General features: G+C 48.6%; 2 long non-coding RNA genes across 3 annotated transcripts, besides 3 other annotated features; one reads left to right on the forward strand and one right to left on the reverse strand.

Annotated features, from left to right (window-relative positions):
• Positions 8,568-9,199: an enhancer, noted in NCBI's record as "H3K27ac-H3K4me1 hESC enhancer chr11:64174565-64175196 (GRCh37/hg19 assembly coordinates)". NCBI's record gives its function as "activates a minimal SCP1, AML or CMV promoter by ChIP-STARR-seq in naive H9 embryonic stem cells {active_cell/tissue: H9 hESC(naive)}" and the evidence as "EXISTENCE:reporter gene assay evidence [ECO:0000049][PMID:30033119]".
• LOC105369341 (uncharacterized) lies at positions 11,553-21,690 on the reverse strand. Of its 2 annotated transcripts, XR_001748069.2 has the most exons (4): positions 21,612-21,690; positions 19,778-19,840; positions 13,635-13,690; positions 11,553-12,392 (listed from the first exon to the last, which is right to left on the reverse strand). It is a non-coding gene; the product is annotated as an uncharacterized LOC105369341 (long non-coding RNA). The 2 variants fall into 2 exon arrangements; XR_950196.2 differs by lacking the exon at positions 19,778-19,840 and having other exon boundaries at positions 11,593-12,392; positions 21,612-21,680.
• Positions 17,171-17,671: an enhancer, noted in NCBI's record as "H3K4me1 hESC enhancer chr11:64183168-64183668 (GRCh37/hg19 assembly coordinates)". NCBI's record gives its function as "activates a minimal SCP1, AML or CMV promoter by ChIP-STARR-seq in primed H9 embryonic stem cells {active_cell/tissue: H9 hESC(primed)}" and the evidence as "EXISTENCE:reporter gene assay evidence [ECO:0000049][PMID:30033119]".
• Positions 17,672-18,172: an enhancer, noted in NCBI's record as "H3K4me1 hESC enhancer chr11:64183669-64184169 (GRCh37/hg19 assembly coordinates)". NCBI's record gives its function as "activates a minimal SCP1, AML or CMV promoter by ChIP-STARR-seq in primed H9 embryonic stem cells {active_cell/tissue: H9 hESC(primed)}" and the evidence as "EXISTENCE:reporter gene assay evidence [ECO:0000049][PMID:30033119]".
• LOC124902689 (uncharacterized) lies at positions 19,611-22,545 on the forward strand. The gene is made up of 2 exons (XR_007062720.1): positions 19,611-22,097; positions 22,207-22,545. It is a non-coding gene; the product is annotated as an uncharacterized LOC124902689 (long non-coding RNA).
• Positions 22,546-26,577: the final 4,032 nt, after the last annotated feature.

The raw sequence follows: 26,577 nt of genomic DNA on the forward strand, positions 1-26,577 counted from the left end.
TGCTATGATCTCAATGTCTATCCCCTCCAAAACTCATGTCGAAATTTAATTGCCACTGGGATGGTATTGGGAGGTGAGACCTTTAAGAGGTGTTTAGGTCATGAGGGCCCCACCCTCATGAATGGGCTAATGCTATTATTGGCAGAGTGGGTTTGTTATTGAGGGAGTGAGTTCGCCCTTTCTTGCCCTCTCTCGCTCTCTCTTTGATCTTCCACCATGTTATGACACAGCAAGAAGGCCCTTGCCAGATGCTGGTCCCTCGATCTCAGGCTTTCCAGCCTCCAGAATCATAAGTCAATACACTTCTGATCATTATGAATTATCCAGTCTGTGGTATTCTGTTTTAACAGCACAAAATGGACCAAGACAGGGCCTGAGGAGCAAGAAGCAGCAGATACTTTCATGTACATTAGTAAGACAAATGAAAATGAGATGGGGGAGATGAACCCCATAATAATTCAGGGGTCTGTCACCTCAGGGAGGTTGATGGGGCACCAATAGTCTGAAGCATGTCAAGATATCCCCTCCAAAGTGAAGGATATGTTGCTGCATCTGGACCACCTACCACAAAAATAATGGAGGTTTGCATACATCACATTTGAGAGTTTTACTCCAACCCATTTGATCAGAAATGTATTGGCTTATGGTTCTGGAGGATGGAAAGTACAAGATCAAGGGACCAGCATCTGGCAAGGGCCTTCTTGCTGCATCATAACATGGAATAAGGGCAAAGAGTGAGTGAGAAAGGGCAAGAGGGGGCAAACTCACTCCCTCAATAACAAGCCCACTCCCTCAATAATAATAATGCAATAGGTGCCAGTTTTGAGTGGGGACCAAATCAAGAGAAGACTCTGCAGCCAGTCCAGCCTGCACAGCAAGTGCTCTTCCTTTGGGCCTTGTGACTCCACAGACTGATGATGCTCAGAATGTGCTTGTGAACAGGGATGCTGCTGTCAAGCATGGGCTGCAGGCAAGTGTCAGGAAGAGGATCACTGTGCAGGCCTCCAGGGTTCTCGTGCAAGTCCATGCCCTCTTCTGCAACAGAGTATTCTCCTTTACAGAAACAATTCCTGGGTTGGGCATGGTGGCTCATGCCTATAATCCCAGCACTTTGGGAGGCCAAGGTGGGCAGATCACTTGAGGTCGGGAGTTTGAGACCAGTCTGATCACCATAGAGAAACCCCGTCTCTACTAAAAATACAGAAAAAATTTATCCGGGCGTGGTGACGCATGCCTGTAATCCCAGCTACTCGGGAGGCTGAGGTAGGAGAATCGCTTGAACCCGGGAGGCGGAGGTTGCGGTGGGTCAAGATTGTGCCATTGCACCCCAGCCTGGGCAATAAGAACAAAACTCCATCTCAAAAACAAACAAACAAACAAAAAAACAAGAAACAGTTTCTGGCTTATAGCTGTGCCCTGGTAGGGACTGAACACTGGACATCAAGTGACCATGTGGCCTGAGCATCTGTTTCAGAAGGTTGGGTTCCCACGAAACATACCGGGAGGTGAAGATTTGTGGGCAAGGGGTTTATTGGGAAGTACTCTTGGAAATAACACCCATAAGGGAGTGAAGGAGATGGGATTGTGAAGAGGGAAATGTTGAACTATGACAAAGTTGCAACAGAGGGCTAGCTAATTCCCCGGGGAACTCTGGAACTGGGTTAGCTCTTCAGCCATATCCCAGATTCAGGCAAGAGAGTTAAGCCATTGCACCCCTACATCGACTAGCCATTGGAAGCAGGCTTCCTCCAGGGTGGGGTCACATCCGTGGGTGAGGCAACTCCCTGCTGCTGAGGGCCAGGGCCAGAGGGTGACTCAGCTGTGAACCGTCTTGGCAGCTGGGGAACGAGGGCCCCAGTCCTGGAGGTGGGATCTCCCTGAACACCTCAGTATCCAAGGTGTCCAGTGGAAAGTGGGTGTTATCAGACCCACCAAGCCCTGAGGTCAGCCGGTGAGGCTGAATCTATCCTCAAGTGGGAATGTGCAGAGGCACAGGTAAGTTGCAGGAGCAGGTGGCTCAGACTCCTTTGACACCGCTGATCCCCACCTATGGCCTTAGGGATGTGTGATTGAGAACACTTGTTGGGTTTAGTTTATAGGTGATTTTGCATAATATCCTGGCATTGACTGGAAGTGGGTGCCTGCCATGTGACAGCCTCATTCAGGGGGTGCTCTGAAGGATATTGAAAGACATAGTCAAGCAGAACTCTAGGGGTCCCACTTTGGACTGACAGAGGATCTGGATCTACAGTCATTCATGGGCAATTGCTAATGGTTTAGCTCAGAAGTTGGCAAACCACAGCCCACAGGTCAAGTCTGGCCACCCTCTGATTTTGTAAATAAAAGGTGTTTTTGGCACTCAGCCACGCCCATGTGTTTGCTTTTTGTGCTGCTTTCATGCGACAACAGCAGAGTTGCATAGTTGCAACGGAGAACAAATGGTCCACAGAGCCTAAAACATTTATAAATTTGATAGAAAAAGTTTGCTAACCCCTGGCTTAGCTGAATGGTCAGGGATTTGGGAAAAACAGAATTGGAAGATGGTGACATGCAGTGTGGGTAGGAAATACGTGGAGCGCTGAGAATGGGCACAGAATGCAAAGATGTTTGTTTCCAATGCGGATGCCCCGCAGAGGGCACCCCCGGCAGAGGAGCTCTTCAGAGCCAGGTGGACACAATGATGAGAGCGTGAGGGAGAATTTCTCTGTGGATGTCAGTTATCCTCTTTCCCCAGCCAGCCCAGTGCTTGCCCATTGTGTCCATGTTCAACGTGGCCATGGTGGCAGAGATGGAGGTTATGCAGGGGTTCAGCGGCGAATGTGTACTTCTCGGCACCAGGGCTTCTGGATAACGCTACTGCTGAGTGCCCGGCCTGCCAAGAGCAGAGACTGACACTGAGCCCCTGATACGGTGCATCCAGTGCACCAGGCAGCCTGCTAGCAGGTTGATTACTTGAACCCTTTCTATTATGGAGGGGATGGAGATTTGTTTTCACTGGAAAAGACTCATACTCTGGAGATGTGTTTGCCATCCCTGCTCGTAATGCTTCTGCCAGCATCATCATCTGTGGACTTTGTGAGTCTTATTCACCATCATGGTACAACATTGCTTCTGATCAAGGAATCCATTTCATGACAAAAGAAATGTGACAATAGCTTTATGGTCATGAGGTTCTCCGGTCCTACCAAATACTCCATCACCCAGAAGCAGCTGGCCTCATGGAATGGTGGAATAGCTCAGGGAAGACTTATTCAGTAAGTCATCATCAGCTGGGAGACGACACCCCGACAGGAGGGAGTTCTGTCTTACATGAGACAGATATGCTTTGAATCAGTGACCAATTTATGTTGTTGTTGCTTCTCCATGGCCAGAAAACATGGTCCAGGAATCAAGGGATGGAATGAGAGTGGCTTCTCTCATTAAAACTAATATCCCATTCATAGATTTTATTTTCTCCCGTGTCAGCAACTTTGAACCCCACTGGTTTGAAAATCTTAGTTCCCAAGGAGAGAATGCTTCCCCCAGGGGACACCATTGTTTTATTGAATCAAAAGTTGAGATGAGTTGGGCGCGGTGGGTCACACCTGTACTCCCAGCACTTTGGGAGGCTGAGGTGGGCGGATCACCTGAGGTCAGGAGTTCGAGACCAGCCTGACCACCATGGAGAAACCCCGTCTCTACTAAAAACACAAAATTAGCCAGGTGTGGTGGCGCATGCCTGTAATCTCAGCTACTCGGGAGGCTGAGGCAGGAGAATCGCTTGAACCCAGGAGGCAGTTGTTGCAGTGAGCCGAGATTGTGCCATTGCACTCCAGCCTGGGCAACAAGAGCGAAACTCCGTCTCAAAAAAAAAAACAAAACCAAACAACAAAAAAAAACAAGTTGAGATGGGGTTCTCAGCCACTGGATCAACAGGCAAAAGACAGGGTTACTGTACTGACTGGGATTACTGGCCCCAATACCAAGGGGAAAGGGGGTTCCTGCTGTGTGAGGCATATTTCCTCCCCTCCTCTTCCTCATTTTATTTTATCATTACATCATGTGATTATATTATTTTATGTAAGCTTTACAAATTTTAACTTTTTGATTTAGTCTTTAGGTAGCAGAATTTTCAGATGGGATGGTGACTGACTCAGGAATAACTAACGCGTCCTGAAGACGGATGGTGTGTTTATCTCCCAGGATGAACCCAGTGACTGCTGGGACTTCGCATCTTCTCATTTTGGGGAGACGGTGCGTTATGGATTGAATTGTGTCTCCCCAAAATTCATATGCCGAAGCCCTAATTCTTAATGAAGACATTTGAAGATAGTGTCTTTAGGGAGGTGATCAAGATTAAATGAGGTCATAAGGTGAGCCTGAATCCTATAGGACTGGTGTCCTTATAAGAAAAAGAAGAGACTCAGATCTCCCCCCAACCTCACTCTCCTTGTGCACACAGAGGAAAGGCCACGTGAGGACACAGTGAGAAGGCGGCTGTTTATGAGCCAGGAAGAGGCTTCCTCCCACCAAAAATCAACCTGATAGTAGTACCTTGATCTTGGGCTTCTGGCCTACAGAACTCTGAGAAAATAAATTTCTGTTGTTTAAGCCACCCGGGCTGTGGCATTTTGTTATGGCAGCCTGAGCAGACTAACACAGAGTGAGAATGTCTTTCTTTGTATGAAGGATAGTTTCATCTTGTTATGTAGAGACACAGAGTTATTTTTGTTGTTGTACAGAACTCCAAAAATATATGCAGAGGGGTGTTCACGAATGCAGAGTAGCCAAAGGGGTAGACTTTGCCAGTTATCAAGTTACTGTCTTCCAGCTTCCAGCCCAGCCTTCTATACGCTCTGTGTTGTGATGATGGAGTTGGAATTCTGCAAACCATGTTTCTGCTTTGTCTGCTGTTTCCCTGCTGGGCTCTGACAATAGGGGATGTTAGAAAGAGCAACTTTGGCCGGCCATGGTGGCTCACGCCTGTAATCCTAGCACTTTAGGATACCAAGGTGGGCAAATCACCTGAGGTCAGGAGTTTGAGACCAGGCTGGTCAACATGGTGAAACCCCATCTCTACTAAAAATACAAAAATTAGCCGGGCATAGTGGCGCATGCCTGCAATCCCAGCTACTCGGGAGGCTGAGGCAGGAGAATCGCTTGAACCCGGGAGGTGGAGATTGTGGTGAGCCGAGATTGTGCCATTGCAGTCCAGCCTGAGCAACAAGAGCGAAACTCTGTCTCAAAAAAAAAGAAAGAAGAAAGAAAGAAAGAAAGAAAGAAAGAAAGAAAGAAAGAAAAAAGAAAGAAAGAAAAGAAAGAAAGAAAAGAAAGAAAGAAAGAGCAGCTTTGAGGCTAGAACAAGACGAAGGTTCTTGCTCCTTTCGGTCTGCTTCCTGTGGGCATCACCCTCACACAGCTTCTTCACTGTGGCAGCGGCAGTTCCTTCCTGCAGTAGCTGCTGGATCCAGTTTGCAGTTTTTCCAGCAGGCACACCAGCCCCTTCAAACCCCTCTGGAGACATCACAGCACCTGCTGACCCTGTCTGCTCCTTAGAGGTCTGCATTCTAGCCTTCCATGTTTTCATAATTCCAGTCCCTTCTTCATTCCTCCAGCCCTGGGGGTGTGTGTTGCTTCCTGGAAGGTTCTCCCCTTAGAGTTCTCTTTTTTGCATTTTTAGTTTTTCAATGCCTAGTTAATAATTTTTTATATTAAATTTCCTCTGTTAACACAACACATGGTTTCTGTCTCCTGATGGGACCATGACTGATATAGACCTGGATCATTGCAGATTCTGCCTTGTGGATTCCCCATAATGAGAGAGATAAAATAATTAGAGTCTGATTTTGCCGAAAGTACCTGTTGTTCCAAAAAGCCCTCCCCATCCTCAGCCCAACACCTTCTCCCTGCCCAACATCTAAGCCAGTCGTGACTGCACCCAGAGTGCTGCTTGGCTCTGAACCCCCAGCTCCTAGGATGGACCAGGCACATCGCCTCAGGGCTCAGACCACTCCTGCTTCCCCACCTAACATCACAGGGTCACCGTGAAATTCAGGGTCCAGCCTGTTCTGTGATTATCTTTCTGGACTCTTCTCACAACTGCCAAGTTTTCTGTAACCACTCCTGGGGTCTCCAGCTCCTTAAAGGAGGCCCCCCCACAATGAGAGCTTCAGGAGGAGGGAGGCTTTTGAGGAGCACCTGTCCTGGAATCTCCCGGGTGGGCCATTCCAGCTGACTCTGGAGGTGTTCTAGTTACCCCTGTTAGATTTCTCATCTCCAAGTCACCTCCCCAATCCAGTGACAATAAAAGAAGGCTTCCTTCTCCTAGTTCCTTCTGCCAGGGCACTTAGGAGGGTGGGATGGCAAAATTTCCCTTGCCCCCATTCCTACCTGCCTCCCCTGACCTCTAAGGGCCCAACTCTTCTCCTAAGGCAATTCCCCTCTTCCTCCAGTTCAGCCAGGATGACTTCCTTAATTTTTCAGTCACTTTCTTCTTCTTCTTTTTTTTTTTTTCTTTTTGAGACAAAGTCTCACTCTGTCGCCCAGGCTGGAGTGCAGTGGCGTGATCTGGGCTCACTGCAACCTCCACCTCCTGGGTTCAAGTGACTCTCGTGCCTCAGCCTCCCGAGTAGCTGGGATTACAGGCGCCTGCCACCACGCCCAGCTAATTTTTGTATTTTTAGTAGAGACAGGGTTTCACCATGTTGGCCAGGCTGGTATCAAACTCCTGACCTCAGGTGATCCTCCCACCTCAGCCTCCCAAAGTGCTGGGATTACAGGTGTGAGCCACCGCGCCGGGCCATTTTTCAGTCACTTTTTCCCAGCTCCTGTTCTGGCTGTAACATTTGTTTTTGAGCCAATTCCATTTCTGCTTGAGTCTGTATGCACAGCTAGTAGCTGGTGACAGCGTCCTGCAGGAATGCATTCACATCTCCTTCTTAGCTTTCGGGTTTACAATAATTACACTAATTTGCCTTTCAGAGACAAAAGAAGATAGCGGTTAAGAGGCAGAGTCCAGAGCCGGACTGCCTAGGTTAAAACTGTGGCCCCTTCCACCAACTAGCTGTGGGACCTTGGGCACATTATTTATTTATTTACTTTTTTTTTGAGACAGGGTTTTGCTCTGTCGCCCAGGCTAGAGTGCAGCAGCATCATCATAGCTCACTGCAGCCTTGACCTCCTGGGCTCAAGTGATTCTCCCACCTCAGCTTCCCAAGTAGCTGGAAATATAGGGGCACACCACCACGGTCAGCTAATTTTTTTTTTTGTAGACTCCCACTGCGGTCAGCTAATTTTTTTTTTTTTTTTTTTTTTTTTGTAGACAAGGAGTCTCAGCATGTTGCCCAGGCTGATCTTGAACTCCTAGGTTCAAGTGACCCTCCTGCCTTGGCCTCCCATAGTGCTGGGATTACAGGTGTGAGCCACCACACCTGGCCTGGGCACATTATTTAAGGTCTTCATGTCTCAGTCTCCTCATCGCAAAATGCATATAATAGATTACCCTATCTCAGAGGCAGGGTGTGAGGATTTGATGGGCTAACCCACAGAACGCTGAGAAATGTCCCCGTCACAAAGCAAGCACCCACTGAGTATTCACTGTGATCATTATTCTTGACTTCACCCCAAGAAGAAGACTCATTCCCCGGAAGGGAGTTGAATCAAATACACATTTAGCTTTTGCAGATTGTATTAAATGTAGCTGGTGGAAAAAGGAGAAAGAATCATTTACATATTGCTGAGCTCCTGTTGGAGGCAGGTCCCTCAATGGGCCTCCTGGAGTGGGCAGGAGAGGCCCCTCTGGGATGCAGCTCCCTAGCATGACCCCAGGGCCAGCGTGTCACAGCTGACTGCCAGTGGAGGATTTGCAGACCACGTTTTCCACATAGTGCAGCCTCAGTGCGAGCCAGCTGCAGCCCTGGAGGGAAGCCCAGCTGTGCCGGACTTCCTGAGAGATGAGGACTCCAAAATAGCATCTTCCAGAGGGATTTTTCGAGGGTCACTGATTCCACGTGATTTTTGCCTCCTGCTTTGGAATCTAACTCTGTGTAATGCCATGTATACAGCAGGGGCCCTGTGGAGTAAGGGGTTAACTCAACAGGCCTGGGCTGCCCAAACCCTGCACATTCCAAAGAGAGGACTGGCCCTTGCCTGGCCCCTGGGAGATAAGCTCTGCGCCCTTGGAATATCCTGCCTAACAGGAGTGTTTTTTTCACCTGGGGCCTTGGGCCACCTGAGACAGTTTATGCCAGCAATGTGATTTATGGCGAATGCCTGTTTTTTTTCGCCTGGGGCCCTGGGCCAGGCTGTATCAGTCTGCCTTAAGCTAGGGCTGGAGATGAAATAGTTAAGGTCAGTCACGTGGGTGCCACATGCCTCTATGACTGACCCCTAATAAGACTTGGGACATTAGGGCTTGGCTGAGCATCTCTGGTTGCAATATTTCGTATGTGTTGTCACACCTCTATGGACTGAATCTCTGTGTCCCCCTAAAATTCTTTTTTTTTTTTTTGAGATGGAGTTTTGCTCTTGTTGCCCAGGCTGGAGTGCAATGGTGCGATCTCAGCTCACCACAACCTCCATCTCTTGGGTTCAAGCGTTTCTCCTGCCTCAGCTTCCCGAGTAGCTGGGATTAACAGGCATGCGCCACCACACCTGGCTAATTTTGTATTTTTAGTAGAGACAGGGTTTCTCCATGTTGGCCATGCTGGTCCCGAACTCCCGACCTCAGGTGATCTGGCTGCCTCGGCCTCCCAAAGTGTTGGGATTACAGGCGTGGGCCACTGCATCTGGCCTGGCATCCTTTTTCTAAAGAGCTCCCCACCTCCATTCTATTAGGCTCAGGGGTCACAAAACCTAGCTCCACCCGGAATTCCTGGCCTCTGGAAGGGCCGGCTCAGGAGAAGGGCCCATGGGCTTCAGGGTAAATCCCGTCCCTGCCAAAGGTCAGAGTTGAACCCTTGGGGCTTTTGCAATTTAAACTCCAGGTTTGCTAAGCTGACTTAGAAATTGAGTGAGGAGGGAAAGCAAATTAATGAGCAAAATTCCGCAGTGGACTCCCAGGGCCTCGCGCCCCACAAAAGACCCACGCACCGAGCTTGGACTGGGTCTCAGCTCAGGGGCCTTCTGCGCTTGTGGAGTGTGAGCTCCTGGACAAGCCTTGACTCATCCTAAGATGAAACCCTTCCCCTGTGTGTGTCTGTGTGTGTGAGTCTATGTGTGGGAGTGTGTGTGTCTGTGTGTGTCTGTCTCTGTGTGTGTGTGAATGTGTGTGTCTCTGTGTCTGTGTGTGTGTGTCTGTGTTCATGTCTGTGTGTGTCTGTGTATATGTCTGTGTGTGTCTGTGTATATGTCTGTGTGTCTGTGTATGTGTGTGTGTGTCTGTGTCTATGTGTGTATGGGTGTGCCTGTGTGCCTGCGTATGTCTGTGTTTCTGTGTGTCTCTGTGTGTGTGTGTGTGTATGTCTGTGTGTGTTTTCCTAAATTCTTTGTTTTTCTGTCACTCCATCTGCTGTGGCACACCCTTCAATATCAGCTGGAATTGCGATAAAAGCCAGTCGCATCCTGCACAGGCTCAAGACCTGTAGGTGGCCAGAAACACTGATCCTTCCTCATAGTCCTCAGAGCCCCAAAAGCCAGTCCTTCCAAGGTTTGTTTTTGTTTTTTGAGATAGGATCTCGTTCAACAGAACAGCCCAGGCTGGAGTGCAGTGGTGGCAAGATCACGGCTCACTGCTGCCTCAACCTCCCAGCCTCAAGTGAGCCTCCCTCCTCAGCCTCCAAATAGCTAGGTGCACACCACCACACCAGGCTAATTTAAAAATTTTTTTGTAGAGTTAGGGTCTTGCCATGTTGCCCAGGCTGGTCTCGAACTCCTGGGCTGAAGTGATTCTCCCACCATGGCCTCCCAAAGTGTTGGGATTACAGGTGTGAGCCACCTCGCCTGGCCCCGATCTCTCCATATAAGGACACTCACCCCATCATGAGGGCTCTTCCAAGAGCTCCTAAAGGGCGTCTTGGTCATTGAATGAGAGTTACAGATAAAGATTCTTTGCTCGGCCAAACTTTAGTCAGGCTTCTGAATCTTCTGCTAGGCCCATCTGTGCACTTCCTTGTAAAATGCAGTTCTAGGCCAGGCGCGGTGGCTCACGCCTGTAATCCCAGCACTCTAAGAGGCTGAGGTGGGCGGATCACTTGAGGTCAGAAGTTCGAGACCAGCTTGCAACATGGTGAAACCCTGTCTCCACCAAAAAAATACAAAAGTTGGCTGGGCGTGGTGGTGCATGCCTGTAATCCCAGCTACTTGGGAGGCTGAGGCAGGAGAATCACTTGAACCCGGGAGATGGAGGTTGCAGTGAGCTGAGATCATGCCCCTGCACTTCAGCCTGGGCCACAGAGTGAGATTCCGTCTCAAAAAAAAAAAAAAAAAAATCCAGTTTTAGCGAAAGAACCCTGGCCTGTGTCAGCAAGAATCCTGTTAGGTCGGGTTAAGCAGAATCTCCCCTACCCCTTGGTAATTTTCCATCCACTGACCCCCACACTCCTTGGCCATAAATTCCTACTTGCCTGTGCTATATTCAGAGTGGAGCCTAATCTCTCTCCCCTACCGCAAGATCTTATTGTGGGGGTCCCTGTATCAATCTCCACGGTCCTGGATAAAGTTGGCTCGGCCATGCTTTACCAATGTCATGGAATAATTGTTTCTTTAACATTCACCAAGGCCTTCTTGGTCATTGCACCGACAGCTGGAGATCCGAGGTGTTGATCACTCAGCATCGCCTCCTCCACGGTCACCTGAGAACAGATTCCAGGACCCAGGGGAGGGTTGCGGCTAATGAGCAGAAGCTCGATGTCAGACTTCTGGATCATCGGACCCAGGGTCTCTGCCGGCCACTCTGAATTAAGCGCTCCTGTTCACAGGCAGATGGTGCAGACCGTGCCCCTGGGGCTCAGGCAGGTCCAGAGAGAGGAGAGAGCAGAGAGCAGGCCCCGGCCTTTTCTTGTAGTACTCTTGCCCCTCCGCCCCTCCGTCCCCCCGCCCCCACCACCTCCGGGTGCAGTCGGACTCCCGAGCTTCGCGCTTCGCATCGGATAAATCACTGCACCTCTTGGGAGCTCAGGGAATGAGGGCCTGCGCAGCCGGGCCAAGGGCACCAGGACTTTGTGAGTGGGGAAGGGAGTGGGAATCCTTTCAACTATGGCTGAGGCATTTGCGGGAAACAGTTCATTCCCCAATCCCCCTCGCTATCCCCCACAACTACTGAGCTTCCTCTCCCTCCTCCCGGCACCCCCTCTCCCCTCCCCGCCTCCTTCTCTCTCTGGTTCCTTTGCACACACCAGTCTTCTGCCTACAGGCCCTTCCTCTCCATCCTGGCCTACGAGACTCCTGCGCACCCCTCAAGAATCTGCTCTGTCCGGCTCCGGGAAGTCTTGCCACACTTTCCAGTGGCTTAGGGGGCCCCTCCCTGTTCATCCCCCTCCCGCCTGTTCTTCCCCCTCCCTCTTCTTCCCCCTCCCTCCTGTCTCTGGCTCATTTCATGTAGTTCCCATTTGATTTCTTCTTGCACACCCTTTTCAGTTTATGTTCTCTTGCTGTATTTTATGAATGCTCATTAAGCCACCTTAAATCCCATCTGGAATGACTTGGGAGGGGGCCAATGCTGCTGCCCTGTGACTCTTGAGAGTTTGATATAAGACGACCACAGCCGCCAGCTGCAGCCCACGTCCTGGGACTGGAAGATCTCATGATTAGCTCTCCTGGCTCTGCACCAGCTGCCTAAGAAACGTGAGCCTTCTCAAGCTGCCGCCATGAAATATCTGTCCATAAAGATGACTTTTATGGGGAGCCGTGCTGTGGTTCTGAAACGAGATTGACACCTTAGCTTGGTTCATGCATATAGCACTCCTGGGAATTATGTGGAAGAAAGGTCTGGCCATGGGGCCGGGGTCGGGGGAGGCAGGCGAGGTGGAGGTGCCCAGGGTGTGAAAACTGAGGAAGTGATGACTCTCAGGCTGTGCCAGAGCTGGGTGGACACTGCCTGGCCCCACGTGATGTCCCCCAGTGTGTCCCCTCCCTGCCTCCTGCTGTCTCATCCCAGATGAAGGCTCTCACTTCCACGCCAGGCTCTGCCTATCTCAGGATGAGACTGTCAACTCCGTCCACAGGAGATGCCACACGTGTTGTAAACAGATGTGACTGGCATAGAATATTCCCCAAGTCTGAGTTGTGTGGTTTTGAGTGACACATGTCCTGAATGGGACACTCCTATCCAATCCAGATCCTTCCATGCAGCCTCGCCTCCATGCCAGCAGATCTGCTGAGTTGTCTTTGCATTCTTGGTTTCCTATCTCCTGGATAGGATGGATGCCTGTCTGACACATGCATGTGTACACACACGCACACATGCACACCCACCTCTGCAAAGCAAATACAAATACATGGGCTTAGGTGAATTGGAATCCATTCATTTGTCAGATATTTCTTAGGCATGTTCTCTATGCTGGGCACTGTCCCACACAATGAGGACATAGCAAGGAACAAAAAAGGGAAAAGTCCCACCCTCATGGAGCTTATATTTTGGGGTAGGAGTCAGTCCATAGATACAAGCCTAAGGAATAAAATATGCCATATGCTAGGCAAGACTACATCAAGGAAGGGGTGGGAGTGTTGGGATGGAGCTGAAACTTCAGGAAGGACCAGCCAAGGAGGCCTAAAGGCATGAGGAAGTGAGCAGTAAGCCCACAGATGTCAGGACAGGAGATCCAACAAAGAGCTGGGGGTAGCAGGTATGTGGGGGCAGCAGGAGGCCAGTGGGTGGCCAGAGAGAGAGAGAGAACCCAGGATCACAGTGGGGACAAGGTGGGGGAACACAGTGGCCTGGTGGGTTGTAGGAAGGACTTTGGCTTTGACCACGATGCGATGCTGCTTGGGGAGGTTTAAAGCAGGGGCAGGGCGGGAGATGGGACCTGACTTTCGATTTAACAGGATCCCCCTGGCTGCCTCGAGGAACGCAGGCCTCTGAGGGTCGGAACTGGACTGGGAGGCTGGTCAGCAGGCTCCTGCTGTCCTCTGTTGGGAGGTGACAGTGGCTAAGACTGGCATGGAGGCAGCGAGGTGGTGGTAAGTGACAAATTGTGTGTGTGTGTGTGTGTGTGTCTTTTTTTTTTAATTTTTAAATTTTTATTTATTTATTTTTGAGACGGAGTCTTGCTCTGTCACCCAGGCTGGAGTGCAAGATCTCGGCTCACTGCAACCTTCGCCTCCCGAGTTCAAGCAGTTCTCTTGCCTCAGGCTCCCAAGTATCTGGGATTATAGGCGCTTGCCACCATGCTCTGCTAATTTTTGTATTTTTAGTAGAGACAGGGTTTCACCACCTTGGCCAGGCTGGTCTCCAACTCCTGACCTCAGGTGATCCGCCCGCCTCAGCCTCCTAAAATGTTGGGATTACAGGTGTGAGCCACCGCACCCAACCTAGATTCTGGGTATATTTGTATATATTTTGAGTGCAAAGCTGATGGGATTGACTGACAGGTGGGATGTATGGGAGTGGGAGAGAAGCCAAGGAAGAGCCAAGGCTGATTAGTTGGTTTATTTATTCGGGTAAAATTCACATAATGTTAATTTAACCATTTTAGAGTGTATTCAGAGGTATTTAGTACCTTCACAGTGTTGTTCCATCATCGCCTCTGTCTCATCCCCAAACATTTCCATCAGCCTGAAAGGAAAACTTTGTATGCATTAAACAGTCACTCCTTCTTCCCCCTCCCGGAGCCCCTGACAAGCATGAATCTGCTTTCTGTCTCTATGGATTTACCTATTCTGGTAAATCACTTAGCATAATGTCTTCAAATTTCAGCTATGTGGTAGCATGTGTCAATTTCCTTCCTTTTTAAGGCTGAATAATATTCCACTGTATGGCTAGACCACATTTGTTTAGTCATTCATCTATCCATGGAGATGGGTGTTGTTTCCATGTTTTAGCTACTGTGAATAGTGCTGCTGTGAACATTCATGTACAAGTTTCTCTTTGAACACCTGTTTTTTTCCCTTTTATTTACTTATTTATTTATTTTGAGACAGGGTCTCTTTCTGTTGCACAGGCTGGGGTGCAGTAGCATGATCTCAGCTCACTGCAGCCTCCACCTCCCGACCCAAGTGATTCTTTTTTTTTTTTTTTTTTGAGTTTCGCTCCTGTTGCCCAGGCTGGAGTGCAATGGCACGATCTTGGCTCATCACAACCTCCGCCTCCCAGGTTCAAGCGATTCTTCTGCTTCAGCCTCCCGAGTAGCTGGGATTACAGGCATGTGCCACCACTCCCGGCTAATTTTGTATTTTTAGTAGAGACGGGGGTTTCTCTAGGTTGGTCAGGCTGGTCTTGAACTCCTGACCTCAGGTGACCGGCCACTTCAGCCTCCCAAAGTGCTGGGATTACAGGCGTGAGCCATCGAGCCCAGCCCCCAGGTGATTCTTTTACCTCAGCCTCTTGAGAGCTGAAACCATGGACATGTGCCAACACACCTGGCTAGTTTTTTAATTTTTTGTACAGACAGAGTTTTGCCATGTTGCCCAGGCTGGTCTCGAACCCCTAGGCTCAAGTGATTGCCCTACCTCAGCCTCCCAAAGTGCTGGGGTTACAGGCTTGAGCCACTGTGCCTGGCCTGAACACCTGTTTTCAATTCTTTGGGGTATGTATACACAGGAGTAAAACTGTAGGATGGTATAGTAATTCCATGCTTAACTTTGCGAGGAACGGCCAAGCTGTTCTCCACAGCAGCAGTACCATTTGACATTCCCATCAGCAAGGTACAAGGGTTCCTCTTTTTCCATATCCCCGCCAACACTTGCTATTGTCTGTGTGTGTTTTTTTAAATTATAGCCATCCTGGAGGGTGGGCGGTGGTATCTCATTGCAGGTTAGATTTGCAGTCCCTAATGACTAATGATGGTGAGCATCTTTTCATGTGCTTCTTGGCCATTTGTGGAGCCAAGGGGCTTAACCTGAGCAACCAGAGGAAGGATGGAGCTGCAAAGAAGCAAGATGGGGAACGTGGAGGGAGAGGAGGTCGGTTTGACAGGCTGAGTTTGATGTCCCCAAATGGAGAGGTCCAACTGTTGGAGGCCTGTGAACCAGAGCGACTCCATGTTGAATAGGAGCTGTGTAAAATGAGGCTGAAACCTCCTGAGCTGCATTCCCAGACAGTTAAGGCACTCTAAGTCACAGGATGAGATAGGGGTCAGCACAAGATACAGGTCCTGAAGACCTTGCTGATAAAACAGGTTGCACTAAAGAAGCTGGCTAAAACCCACCAAAACCAAGATGACCACAACAGTGACCTCTGGTTGTCCTCACTGCTCCAATCCTATCAGCGCCACGACAGTTTACAGATGCCATGGCAATGTCAGGAAGTTACCCTATATGGTCTAAAAAGGGGAGGCATGAATAATCCATCCCTTGTTTAGTAGATCATCAAGAAATAACCATAAAAATAGGCAACCAGCAGCCCTTGGGGCTGCTCTGTCTATAGAGTAGCCATTATTTTATTCCACGACATTTTTTTTTTTTTTTGAGACGGAGTCTCGCTGTGTCGCCCAGGCTGGAGTGCAGTGGCGTGATCTTGGCTCACTGCAACATCCACCTCCCAGGTTTAAGTGATTCTCCTGCCTCAGCCCCCCAAGTAGCTGGGATTACAGGTGCCCGCCACCATACCTGGCTAATTTTTCTTTTTTTTCTTGTTTTTTTGAGACGGAGTCTCACTCTGTTGGCCAAGCTGGAGTGCAGTGGCGCGATCTCGGTTCATGGCAACTTCCACCTCCCAGGTTCAAGCGATTCTCCTGCCTCAGCGTCCCGAGTAGCTGGGACTACAGGTGCATGCCACCATGCCCAGCTAATTTTTTGTATTTTTAGTAGAAACGGATTTCAACATGTTGGCCAGGCTGGTTTCACACTCCTGACCTCAGGTGAACTGCCCGCCTCGGTCTCCCAAAGTGCTGGGATTACAGGCATGAGCCACTGCCCCCGACCTAATTTTTGTATTTTTAGTAGAGATGGGGTTTCACCATGTTGGCCAGGCTGGTCTCGAACCCCTGACCTCAGGTGATCCACCCACCTCGGCCTCCCAAAGTGCTGGGATTACAGGCGTGAACCACTGCGCCTGGCCAATTTTTTGTATTTTTAGTAGAGACGGGGTTTCACCATGTTGGCCAGGCTGGTCTTGAACTCCTGACGTCGTGATTCGCCTGCCTCGGCCTCCCAGAGTGCTGGGATGACAGGCGTGAGCCACCACGCCTGGCCTATTCCTCTACTTTCTTAATAAACTTGCTTTCACTTTACGGACTCACCCTGAATTCTTTCTTGCATGAGATCCAAGAACCCTCTCTTGGGGTTTGCATCAGGACCCCCTTCCTGTAACACAACTGTAGTTGGCTGTGACTCAGGGGGTTCGGGGGAGGCCTGGGCTAGAGGTATGAACTTGGATGTGATCCACGAGGTGCAAGCGTGAGTCGGGCACACCCACAGTACAGGCCGGCCCATGAGGAGGAAGATGGGGCAAGAGTGGGGAGAAGACCAGGTGCACGAGGCCCCTGGAGGCCCTGGAGGGAGTGTTTCAAAGAAGGGAGGGTGAGCACCTGGGTCCTATGCTCTGGTGATTGAGTACCACAGAGCTGACAGCTGACTTGGCAGAGCAAGGTGACCTTGACAAGGGCAGTTTGGGCTGCAAGCCTGCCTTGAGTGGGCTTTGCGAGAGGACAGGAAGTGTGTGAGTGGAAAGGGGAGAGACTGCTCTTCAGAGGCTTCGGGGCCTTTGCTGTCAAGGGAAGGAGGGAAATAAGATGGCATTTGAAAAAGGAGTGAGATGAAGAGAGTTTAAGATGTAAGCAGGGAGGACGCAGAGCTGACGGGATGCCTGACCGATGCCCTGGAGCCTGGGGGAGGGGCAGATGTGCTGTGGGGGTGGAGGAAGTTCTTAGCTTAAAAGGATGCACCAGCTCTGAGGGGAGTGGGGGAGGAAGATAGGGGTCTGAGGAGAGGGGAGGAGGTGGGAGGGGAGCGTGGGCCCAGGGGTGCAGCATGCTTGCCGGGAAGCGTTACAGTGGCCCATTTGAAGTTAGCTCAGGAATCGAGATGTTGAAAAGACAGCTGTGTCTTACGCACACATAATCTGCAGGGCACAGCTATGTAACCGTAAGGACAATTGTTTACATTTGTAAACGGAACCCTTTAACGCCGTGGAAAAGCCACTGTGCGCCTAATTCATTCTAGAAGGCCTGTGTGCTACATCTGCCTAACTCAGGGTTTCTAACCTGGGCTCCCCGAGGGCCTCAGGCATATTTTCAACACCTTCAATTCCCTTACAAGAATAGTTTTGGGAGTTTCATGTCACTGATAACTTAAATGCTTGATGCTGGTCCACCCGGATGACTACATATGAGTGCACATTGCCCCGTGGGTTCGTGATCACACGTGTCAGTGCACACTGCCATGTGGGTTGGTGGTCAGAGGTGTGAGTGCACACTGCCATGTGGGTTCATGGTCACAGTTGTGAGTGCACACTGCCATGTGGTTTCATGATCACAGGTGTGAGTGCACACTGCCATGTGGTTTCATGATCACAGGTGTGAGTGCACACTGCCATGTGGGTTTGTGGTCACACAGGTGTGAGTGCACACTGCCATGTGGGTTTGTGGTCACACAGGTGTGAGTGCACACTGCCATGAGGGTTCGTGGCCACAGGTGTGAGTGCACACTGCCATGTGGGTTTGTGGCCACAGGTGTGAGTGCACACTGCCATGTGGGTTCATGATCACAGGTGTGAGTGCACACTGCCATGTGGGTTCCTGGTCACACATGTGTGAGTGCACACTGCCACGTGGGTTCGTGGTCACAGGTGTTTGTGTTTGTCTCAGCAGAACAGAGGCAGGCTACCACGGACAGATGCATTCTGGCCATGGTTCCAATGGAGAACCCCGGTGGAACAACCCACCAAACCCACTGTGCCACTGCTGAGTAATGGGGGACTTAGTTTCAGCAAAATGACATCATCACTTATGTTAATTTAGTGCTGTTTGAATTTTACTGGTCGTTTGTTTTGTGTTTAATTTGTATTGGCTTACAGTTCTGTAAGAACAACAATCATAGCTTTTGTGTTTATCTGTGTTTAAGTAAATTATAAAGAATGAGGCTGGGCGCGGTGGCTCACGCCTATAATCCCAGCACTTTGGGAGGCCAAGGTGGGTGGATCACTTAAGGCCAGGAGTTCTAGACCAGCCTGGCCAACATGGTGAAACCCTATCTCTACTAAAAATACAAAAAAATTAGCTGGGCATGGTAGTGCACATCCGTAATCCTAGCTACTCGGGAGGCCGAGGTAGGATGATTGCTTGAACCCGGGAGGTGGAGATTGCAGTGAGTGCCACTGCACTCCAGCCTGCGTGACAGAGCAAGACTCCATCTCACAAAAAGAAAAAAAAAGAATGATTTACTCAACAATTGGTTCTGAGAAATTGGATATCTACATGCAAAATAATGAAGTTGAACCCTTACCTTATACCATAGACAAAAATTAACTTAAAATGGACCAAAGACCTAAACATAGAGCTAAAACTATAAAACTCTTAGAAGAAAACATAGGGGAAAAGCTGCATGACATTGGATTTTGCAATGACGTCTTGGTTTTGATACCAAAAGCACAGGCAACAAAAGAAAAAAAATAGATAAATGGAACTTTGTTAATATTAAATATTTTGTGCATCAACAGACACTTTTTTTTTTTTGAGACAGGGTCCTGCTCTGTTACCCAGGCTGGAGTGCAGTGGTGTGATCTTGGCTCACTGCAACCTCCAGCTCCCAGGTTAAAGTGATTCTCTTGCCTCAGCCTCCTGAGTAGCACCACCACACCCGAGTAACTTTTGTATTTTTAGTAGAGACGGGATTTTGCCATGTTGGCCAGGCTGGTCTTGAACTCCTGACCTCAGGTGATCCACCCGCCTCAGCCTCCCAAAGTGCTAGGATTACAGGTGTGAGCCAATGCGCCCAGCCTGATAGGGAGTTAATATCCAAAATGTATAAGGAACTCCTACAACTCAACAATGAAAAACAAATGAATTAAAGAATGGGCAAAGGACTTGAATAGACATTTCTCCAAAGAAAAACATGAAAGCACATGAAAAGATGCCCAGCATCGCTAATCATTAGGACACAAATGAAAACCACAGCCAGATACCACTTCACACCCAGTCAGATGCCTATAATAAAAAAAAAAAACAGCACATGTTGGCGTGGATGTGGAGACTTTGGTAACTGTGTGCCCTTCAGGGGAAAGTGTAAAATGATGAATTTGCTTTGGAAAATGGTATAGTGGTTCCTCAAATAATTAAACATAGAACTACCATATAATCCAGTAATTCCATTTCTGAGTATATACCTAAAACAATGGAAAGCAAGACGTTGAAGAGATTTGTACACCCATGTTCCTAGCAGCATTCTTCACAATAGGCAAGAGGTGGAAACAGTGCAGTTGTCCATTGACAGATGTATTAGTCAGTTTTCATGCTGCTGATAAACACATGCCTTAGATTGGTTAACTTTTTTTTTTTTTTTTTTTTTTTTTGAGATGGAATTTTGCTCTTGTTGCCCAGGCTGGAGTACAACAGCTCAATCTCGGCTCACTGCAACCTCTGCCTCCCGGGTTCAAGCAATTCTCCTGCCTCAGCCTCCTGAGTAGCTGGGATTACAGGTGCCCGCCACCACGCCCAGCTAATTAAGACTGGTTAACTTATAAAGGAAAGAAGTTTAATTGACTCACAGTTCCACATGGCTGGGGAGGCCTCACAATCATGGTGGAAGGCAAGGAGGAGCAAAGTCATGTCTTATGTGGCGGCAAGGAAGAGAGAGAAATGAGAACAAAGCAAAAGGGGTTTCCCCTTATAAAACCATCAGATCTCATGAGACTTATTCAATACCACGAGAACAGCACAGAGGAAACCGCCCCCATGATTCAACTATTTCCTCACTGAGTCCCTCCCGCAAGTGGGAATTATGGGAGCTACAATTCACGATGAGATTTGGGTGGGGACACAGCCAAACCATATCAACAGATGAATGGCTAAGCAAAATGTGGCCTATCCATACAGTGGAATATTGCTCTGCCTTAAAAAGGAAGGAAATTCTGACACATGCTACGCGTGGATAGACATTCAGGATCTCGTGCTAAGTGCAACGAGCCAGTTATGAAAGGACAGATACTGTAGGATTCCACTTATAGGAGGCACCTGGAGTGAGATGCATAGAGTCAGAGAGTGGAATGGTGGGTGCCAGGGGCTGGGGGAGGGGCAAATGGGGGGTTAGTGTGGAGTTCTGGTTGGGAAGATGAAAAAGTTCTGGAGCTGAATGGTGGGGATGGTCACACAACAATGCACTTAATGTCACTGGACTGTATACTTAAGAATGGCTAAAATGATAAATTTTACGATATACATATTTCACCACAATAAAAGTTAAAAAGAATAATTTAGATAAACCCTGGGAAGGTGTTCATCAAGGTTTCCAAAATGCCAGGTGGTCCTGGTCTTAGTCAGGTGTCTGGATGGAGAATGCTGGTGCCCCAACTCCTCCTCCTGTCTGTGCCCACACGCAGTGCTGGGCCGGACACTTGTCTGTCCTGAGGGGAATGTGCAGCCTCTGGGCCTCCCTGGAGAGAACAGGTGAAGGAATGCCTGGGGCTCTCTCTGTGCCCTCCTCGGGAGGAAACGGGACCCAGGCGATCTTGGACAGAAGCAGGGTCCCGAGCAGGGGATCACTAGCTGCTTCCGTCCGTCTCTCTTCGGCCCTCCTGTCTGCCAGCTGCACCTCTGCTCTCTTCCAAGGGGCAGCCCCCACCAGGGGCAGTTGTCCAGCTCTTGTGCCTGGGCCGGCACTGGCAAGTTCATTTCCATGGGCATAAGCAGTCTCCATTCTGGCTTGGCAGCAATAAACCTGGCACTGGATGTTGTCCTGGTCCATACATATGTGCCAATCGGTCCAGACTCCTAGAGCTCAACAAATGGTCCTGTGAGAGCCTGGCGCTGTGTGAGCCCGGGAAGGCAGTGCAGTGCAGTGGCCAGGTCATGTCACCCAGGCTAGGGCTTGGCCTTCTGGGGAGCACAGCGAGGGATGGCCTGCCCTAAGGAAGGCCCTCTCTGAGGTGGGGATGGTTTTCCAGGGTTCCCTGGGCTCCCAGGTGCTCCCTCCTCCCCTGTACCCCACTCTTCCATACCCCGGGGCTCATCCCTTCTCCACTTGGGTCCTTGTTCCACTGAAAATCTCCCCCTACCCTCCCATCTCATGGTTTTCTTCCTCCCCGCTGGCTCTGCCTTCCCTTCAACCAGCACCAATGCCAAAATCAGCACCAGGAGCTGCCATTCATATCGTCTCTACCATATGCCCATTTGAATCCTTATTGACAAGCTTGTGACCTTTGTCAAATTAGTGACCTATCTGAGCCTCAGTTTCCTTTCCTGTAAAATGGGCACATTAATACCTATTTTACAGATGGTTGTGAGATGGGTCGTGCCTGACACCATTTGGCGCTCAGCCAACTCTTGTTTGTTTCGTCGATTCTGCTGGGTTGCCTGGCATTTTGATTTATCTTTAATTCATACCTTTGAATCTGCTGTAAACTTGGCAGCCACATCACCAAGCTCGTTAGATTGCAGGTTGGGAAGCCTAATTAGGTTCTAAGGAGGTTAGAAATCTGTCCTCAGGGACAAGTTCTCAAGCTTTAGAATGTGGACTCATGACGTCATTTTGGTCCCTGGAGGCATTCTTCTCTAGCTGTATGTGGGAAGCTCTGTGTTCCAGGCTGTGAGGCTGCCAGGCAACAAAGTTTCCCAAGTCTCAAGGAGCCATGTTGTGAGTGTTTGACAGCCAGGTCTTGGAAAGGAAGGCCAACATGCCCTGGGCTGATCAGACTCCATCATGTTGACTCCTGGGAGGCACATTTTTGAGAAACAATTAGGAACCAGGAAGCATTCTGAGGAGGAAAGCCAGGATAAAGAAGACTCAGATAAAAAAGTCATCCCACCAGGTCTGGATGCAGTGTGACTGTATCAGTCAGCTTTTGCTGGGTTATGCCAAGTAACAAACAGGTACCAAACTCAGTGGCTTATAATAATTATAATAAAAAGGGTTGTTCTTATTAATGTTGCACATTGCCTGCAGTAGGTGTGAGCCTGTTCTATGTTTTTTTCATTCTAGGATTCAGGCTGAAAGATCAGCTATGAAACTGCTGGTTTTGAGGCACAGGAAAAAGAGTGATGGCAGAACTGAGAAATGACTTTAAAGCCTCTGCTCAGAAGTGGCTTATATCCCTCTGTTCACATTTTATTGGCCACAGAGAATCACATGATCAAATATGTCTTCAGACTTGATGGGCTTAGGGAGATACCATGCTCCCACAGGGAGGGGTGGTAACTATTTGGCCAGCACAGAGTAGATACCAACAGTTATTAAACTGTTTGTTGAATGAATGAATAGATGAATTCTCTGATCCTGGAAGGATTTAAATAAAGAATGGATGACCATTTGTATTACCTATCTATTGCTGCATAACAAATTATTAAAAAACAGTCTGGGTGTGGTGGCTCTCACCTGTAATCCCAGCACTTTGGGAGACTGAGGTGGGAGGATGGCTTGAGCTCAGGAGTTTGAGATGAGCCTGGGCAATGGAGCAAGACCTCATCTCTATTAAAAAAGTTTATTAAAAAACTTAGTGGCTTAAAGCAACAATAAACATTTATTATCTCACATAGTGTCTGTGGGGCAGTAATTCTGGAATGGTTTACTTAGCAGGATGGCTCAGATTTGAGGTTTCTCATGAGATTGTAGCCAAGTTATTGATCAGAGCTGCAGCCATTTATAGGCTCCACTGCCAAAAGGCTCTGATTCCAGGATGAGTCACTGACATAGACGGGGAATTGGGACTGGCTGTTAGCAGGAGGCCTCACTTCCTCACCATGTGGCTTATCCACAGGGCTGCTTGAGTGTCCTCACAATATGGTGGCTGAATTCCTCCAGAGCAAGTAATCCTGGAAAGAACAAGACAGAAGCCACAATGTCTTTAAAGCTTCAGAAGGCACACACTATCATTTCTACAATATCCTACTGGCTACACAGGTCTTCCCTATTCGATGTGGGAAGGGACTAAATAAAGGTGTAAATAGCAGGAGGGGATATCATATGGGGCCATGTAGGAGGCAGTCTATCATAGCTCACCCTCTGGCCCCCAATAAATTATATCCTTTCCACATGTAAATACTCTTACCTCCTCCCACAGCCTCCAAAATTCTCATCTTATTAAAGCTCAAAGTCCAGAATCTCATCATCTAAATCAGGTTCAGATGAGGCTTCTAGGGTAAGGCTCCTCAAGTACAGCTCTTGAGAATAGTTTTGCTTGATCTGAAGACATGTGAACTAAAGAGGCAGTTATCTGTATCTCTGTATCTCTGTACCCTGCAACATACAACAGTGTGAGAAGCATAAGATAACCATTATAGACATTCCCAATTCGAGAAGAGAGGCACATAGAGCTGTTTGTGGTGGTGTGTGCCTGTAGACCCAGCTACTCGAGAGGCAGAGGCAGGAGGACCACTTAAGTCCAGGAGTTCAAGGCCAGCCTGGGCAACATAGTGAGGCCCTGTTTAGAAAAAAAATAAAAGGAGGCACACAGGAGTCACTAGCACATAGCAATTCTTAAATCTAGCAGACCACACATTGGAAGTTACTACACTAGGACTTCAGGGCTGGAAATAATTCTCCTTGGCTCTTGGCTCTGCCCTAGGGACTGTTGGCTTTGTCTGGGGGCTGAGTCACCTTTTCTTTTTCATGAAAGGTGGCTTATCTTAGCAGATGATTGGTTTTCTTAGCTTTCTTCTTACCTATAGAAAAGAAGTCCAAAGTCTTCTTTTTATTTTGTATTGTGTCTGTTTCTTTCAGTCCAAACTAGCAGTGCTTCTGCCAATACAATTCTTGTAAAGCCCTTTTGGGTCCCCTATGAATCTTTTTGAGGTTTGCTCTATTTAACAAGTCTCTTTGAGATAAGCCTGTCTCTACCTTGGCATTCTGCTGACACTGCTGAGGAATATCTTTAAACTTCTTAGGAACCTTATTATGAATGATTCTCTGAAGCACCCTTTACATTTTCTGAAGATATAATACAAGAGCTTATAATCACTCCTCTAGCTTCATCATTAGACTATGTTTTCCTGATATTGTCCTGGATTTGATCTTTTCCCAGAAACTATTTCTTAAATTTAGCATTGTTTGCCATCTGTAGAAAATGGGAATTTTCAGAACCAGAAAGTCCTGGCACCTTCATGTTGAACAGTTCTTCCTTTAGCTTATTTCTCTCCTATCTCATTTTACTAAAACAGGCAAGAAGAAGTGAAGTGGCACTTCCAATACTCTGCCTGGAAATCTCCCTAACAAGATCACCTAGCCCATTAAGTACATTTTCTACTTTCCACATTACTACAGATAACAGTGCTGCTAAACTTTCAGACACTATAACAATAATTTTCTCTCCTCCAGTTTCCAATAATACTTTCTCCATTTTCCTTGAAGTCTTCATCTGCAACACCCTCTAAGGCCACTTGGCTTCAATTAACAGTTGAAGTTCCTGGCCGAGCGCAGTGATTCACGCTTGTAATCCCAGCACATTTGGAGGCCGAGGCAGGAGGATCACCTGAGCCCAGGAGTTTGAGACCAGCTTGGGCAACATAGTGAGACCTCAACTCCCCAAATTAAAAAATGAGGCAGAAGGGTTGCTTGAACCTGGAAGGTCAAGGCTGCAATGAGCCGTGATCATGCCACTGCACTCCTCTCTGGGTGACAGGAGTGGAAACCTTGTTTCAAAGAAACAAACAACAAGAAACAGGTGAAGTTCTGGCTAGATACCAGAATTGCTTGACTCTTTTGTGCACGGATTTCTCCCCCTTCCTCAAGCCCATTTCCTACTTAGGGCATTGGAGTGTTCTTTTCTTTTTGTCTGTAATATCTTCCAGATATCTTCATGGCTTACTGCTCTCCTTAATTCAGGTACCACTTAAATGTCACCTCTTCAGAGAAGCCATCTGTGACAATCTAATATAGGGTCCCAGGCTGGGCGCCGTGGCCCATGCCTGTAATCCAACACTTTGGGAGTCCGAGGCGGGCAGATTGCCTGAGCTCAGGAGTTGGAGACCACCTTGGGCAACATGGTGAAACCCCATCTCTACTAAAATACAAACAATTAGCCGGGTGTGGTGGCGCATGCCTATAATCCCAGCTACTCGGGAGGCTGAGGCAGGAGAATCACTTGCGCCCGGGAGGCGGAGGTTGCAGTGAGCCGAGATTGTGCCATTGCACTCCAGCCTGGGCGACAGAGCGAGACTCTGTCTCAAAAAAAAAAAAAAAGGGTCCCCATTCTCTATACACTGACTCTGCTTTATTTTTCTTCATAGTACTTTTCACCACCTGACATCATGTTATATATCTATTTGTTTACTATCTCTCACTACATTAGAATTCAAGCTCACATGGGCAGAGGTCCTGTCTGTTTTATTCGTAGCTGCAGTCCTAATGCCTGGAAGAATTCCTAGCATGTCACAGTTGTCCAATAAATGTTTGTTGAATGAAGGCATTAAGCAGCCTCTGCAGAGGCACCCAGCATAGGTAGACGAGGCTCACGCTGGGATTCAGAGGGGATTCTCCAAAGGCATCCAAGGAAGAAGTTTTTGGAAATAACAGGCAACAGGATACACACAGGTTCAGGAGCAGGATATCGATGGCAGGTCTCGGAGTCAAAACAGGATCTGCCCTGCCACGTCTGGCCTTTTGTTTTCCCTGAAGAGGTGAAACCTTGAGCAGGTTAGGAGATCTGAGCCTTTTTCCTGAGGTAGCTGATAAGCGGGTATTTCCTTTTTCTTTCTTTTTGAGATGAAGTTTTCACTCTTGTTGCCCAGGCTGGAGTGCAATGGTGCGATCTCGGCTCACTGCAACTTCTACCTCCCGGGTTCATGCGATTCTCCTGCCTAAGCCTCCCGAGTAGCTGGGATTACAGGCATGAGCCACCAAGCCTGGCTAATTTTGTATTTTTAGTAGAGACAGGGTTTCTCCATGTTGGTCAGGCTGGTCTCGAACTCCCGACCTCAGGTGATCCACCCACCTCGGCCTCCCAAAGTGCTGGGATTGCAGGCGTGAGCCACCCGCCCAGCGTTCCTTTTTCAAAATAGTACACTGGTGCCCACTTGGCCTGTGATTCAGCCTAAGCAGGATTTGTGGACACAGGGAGCTTTCGGAGGCAGGGGTTGGTCAGAGATTAGGGATGGAGTCCATGCACAAACGTCTTCAGTCCCATGGAACTGGGTATGTGGGTTAGGGCCACAGAATATGGCAAAGACAGTTTTGTTTGTTTCTTTGTTTGTTTTTTGAGACAGAGTCTTGCTCTGTCGCCCAGGCTGGAGTGGTGCGATCTCGGCTCACTGCAACCTCCGCCTCCTGGGTTCAAGCAATTCTCCTGCCTCAGCCTCCCGGGTAGCTGGGACTACAGGTGTGTGCCACCATGCCTGGCTAATTTTTTGTATTTTTAGT

The sequence above is a fragment of the Homo sapiens genome, chromosome 11 (assembly GCF_000001405.40).
Source record: "Homo sapiens chromosome 11, GRCh38.p14 Primary Assembly".
NCBI lineage: Eukaryota > Metazoa > Chordata > Mammalia > Primates > Hominidae > Homo > Homo sapiens.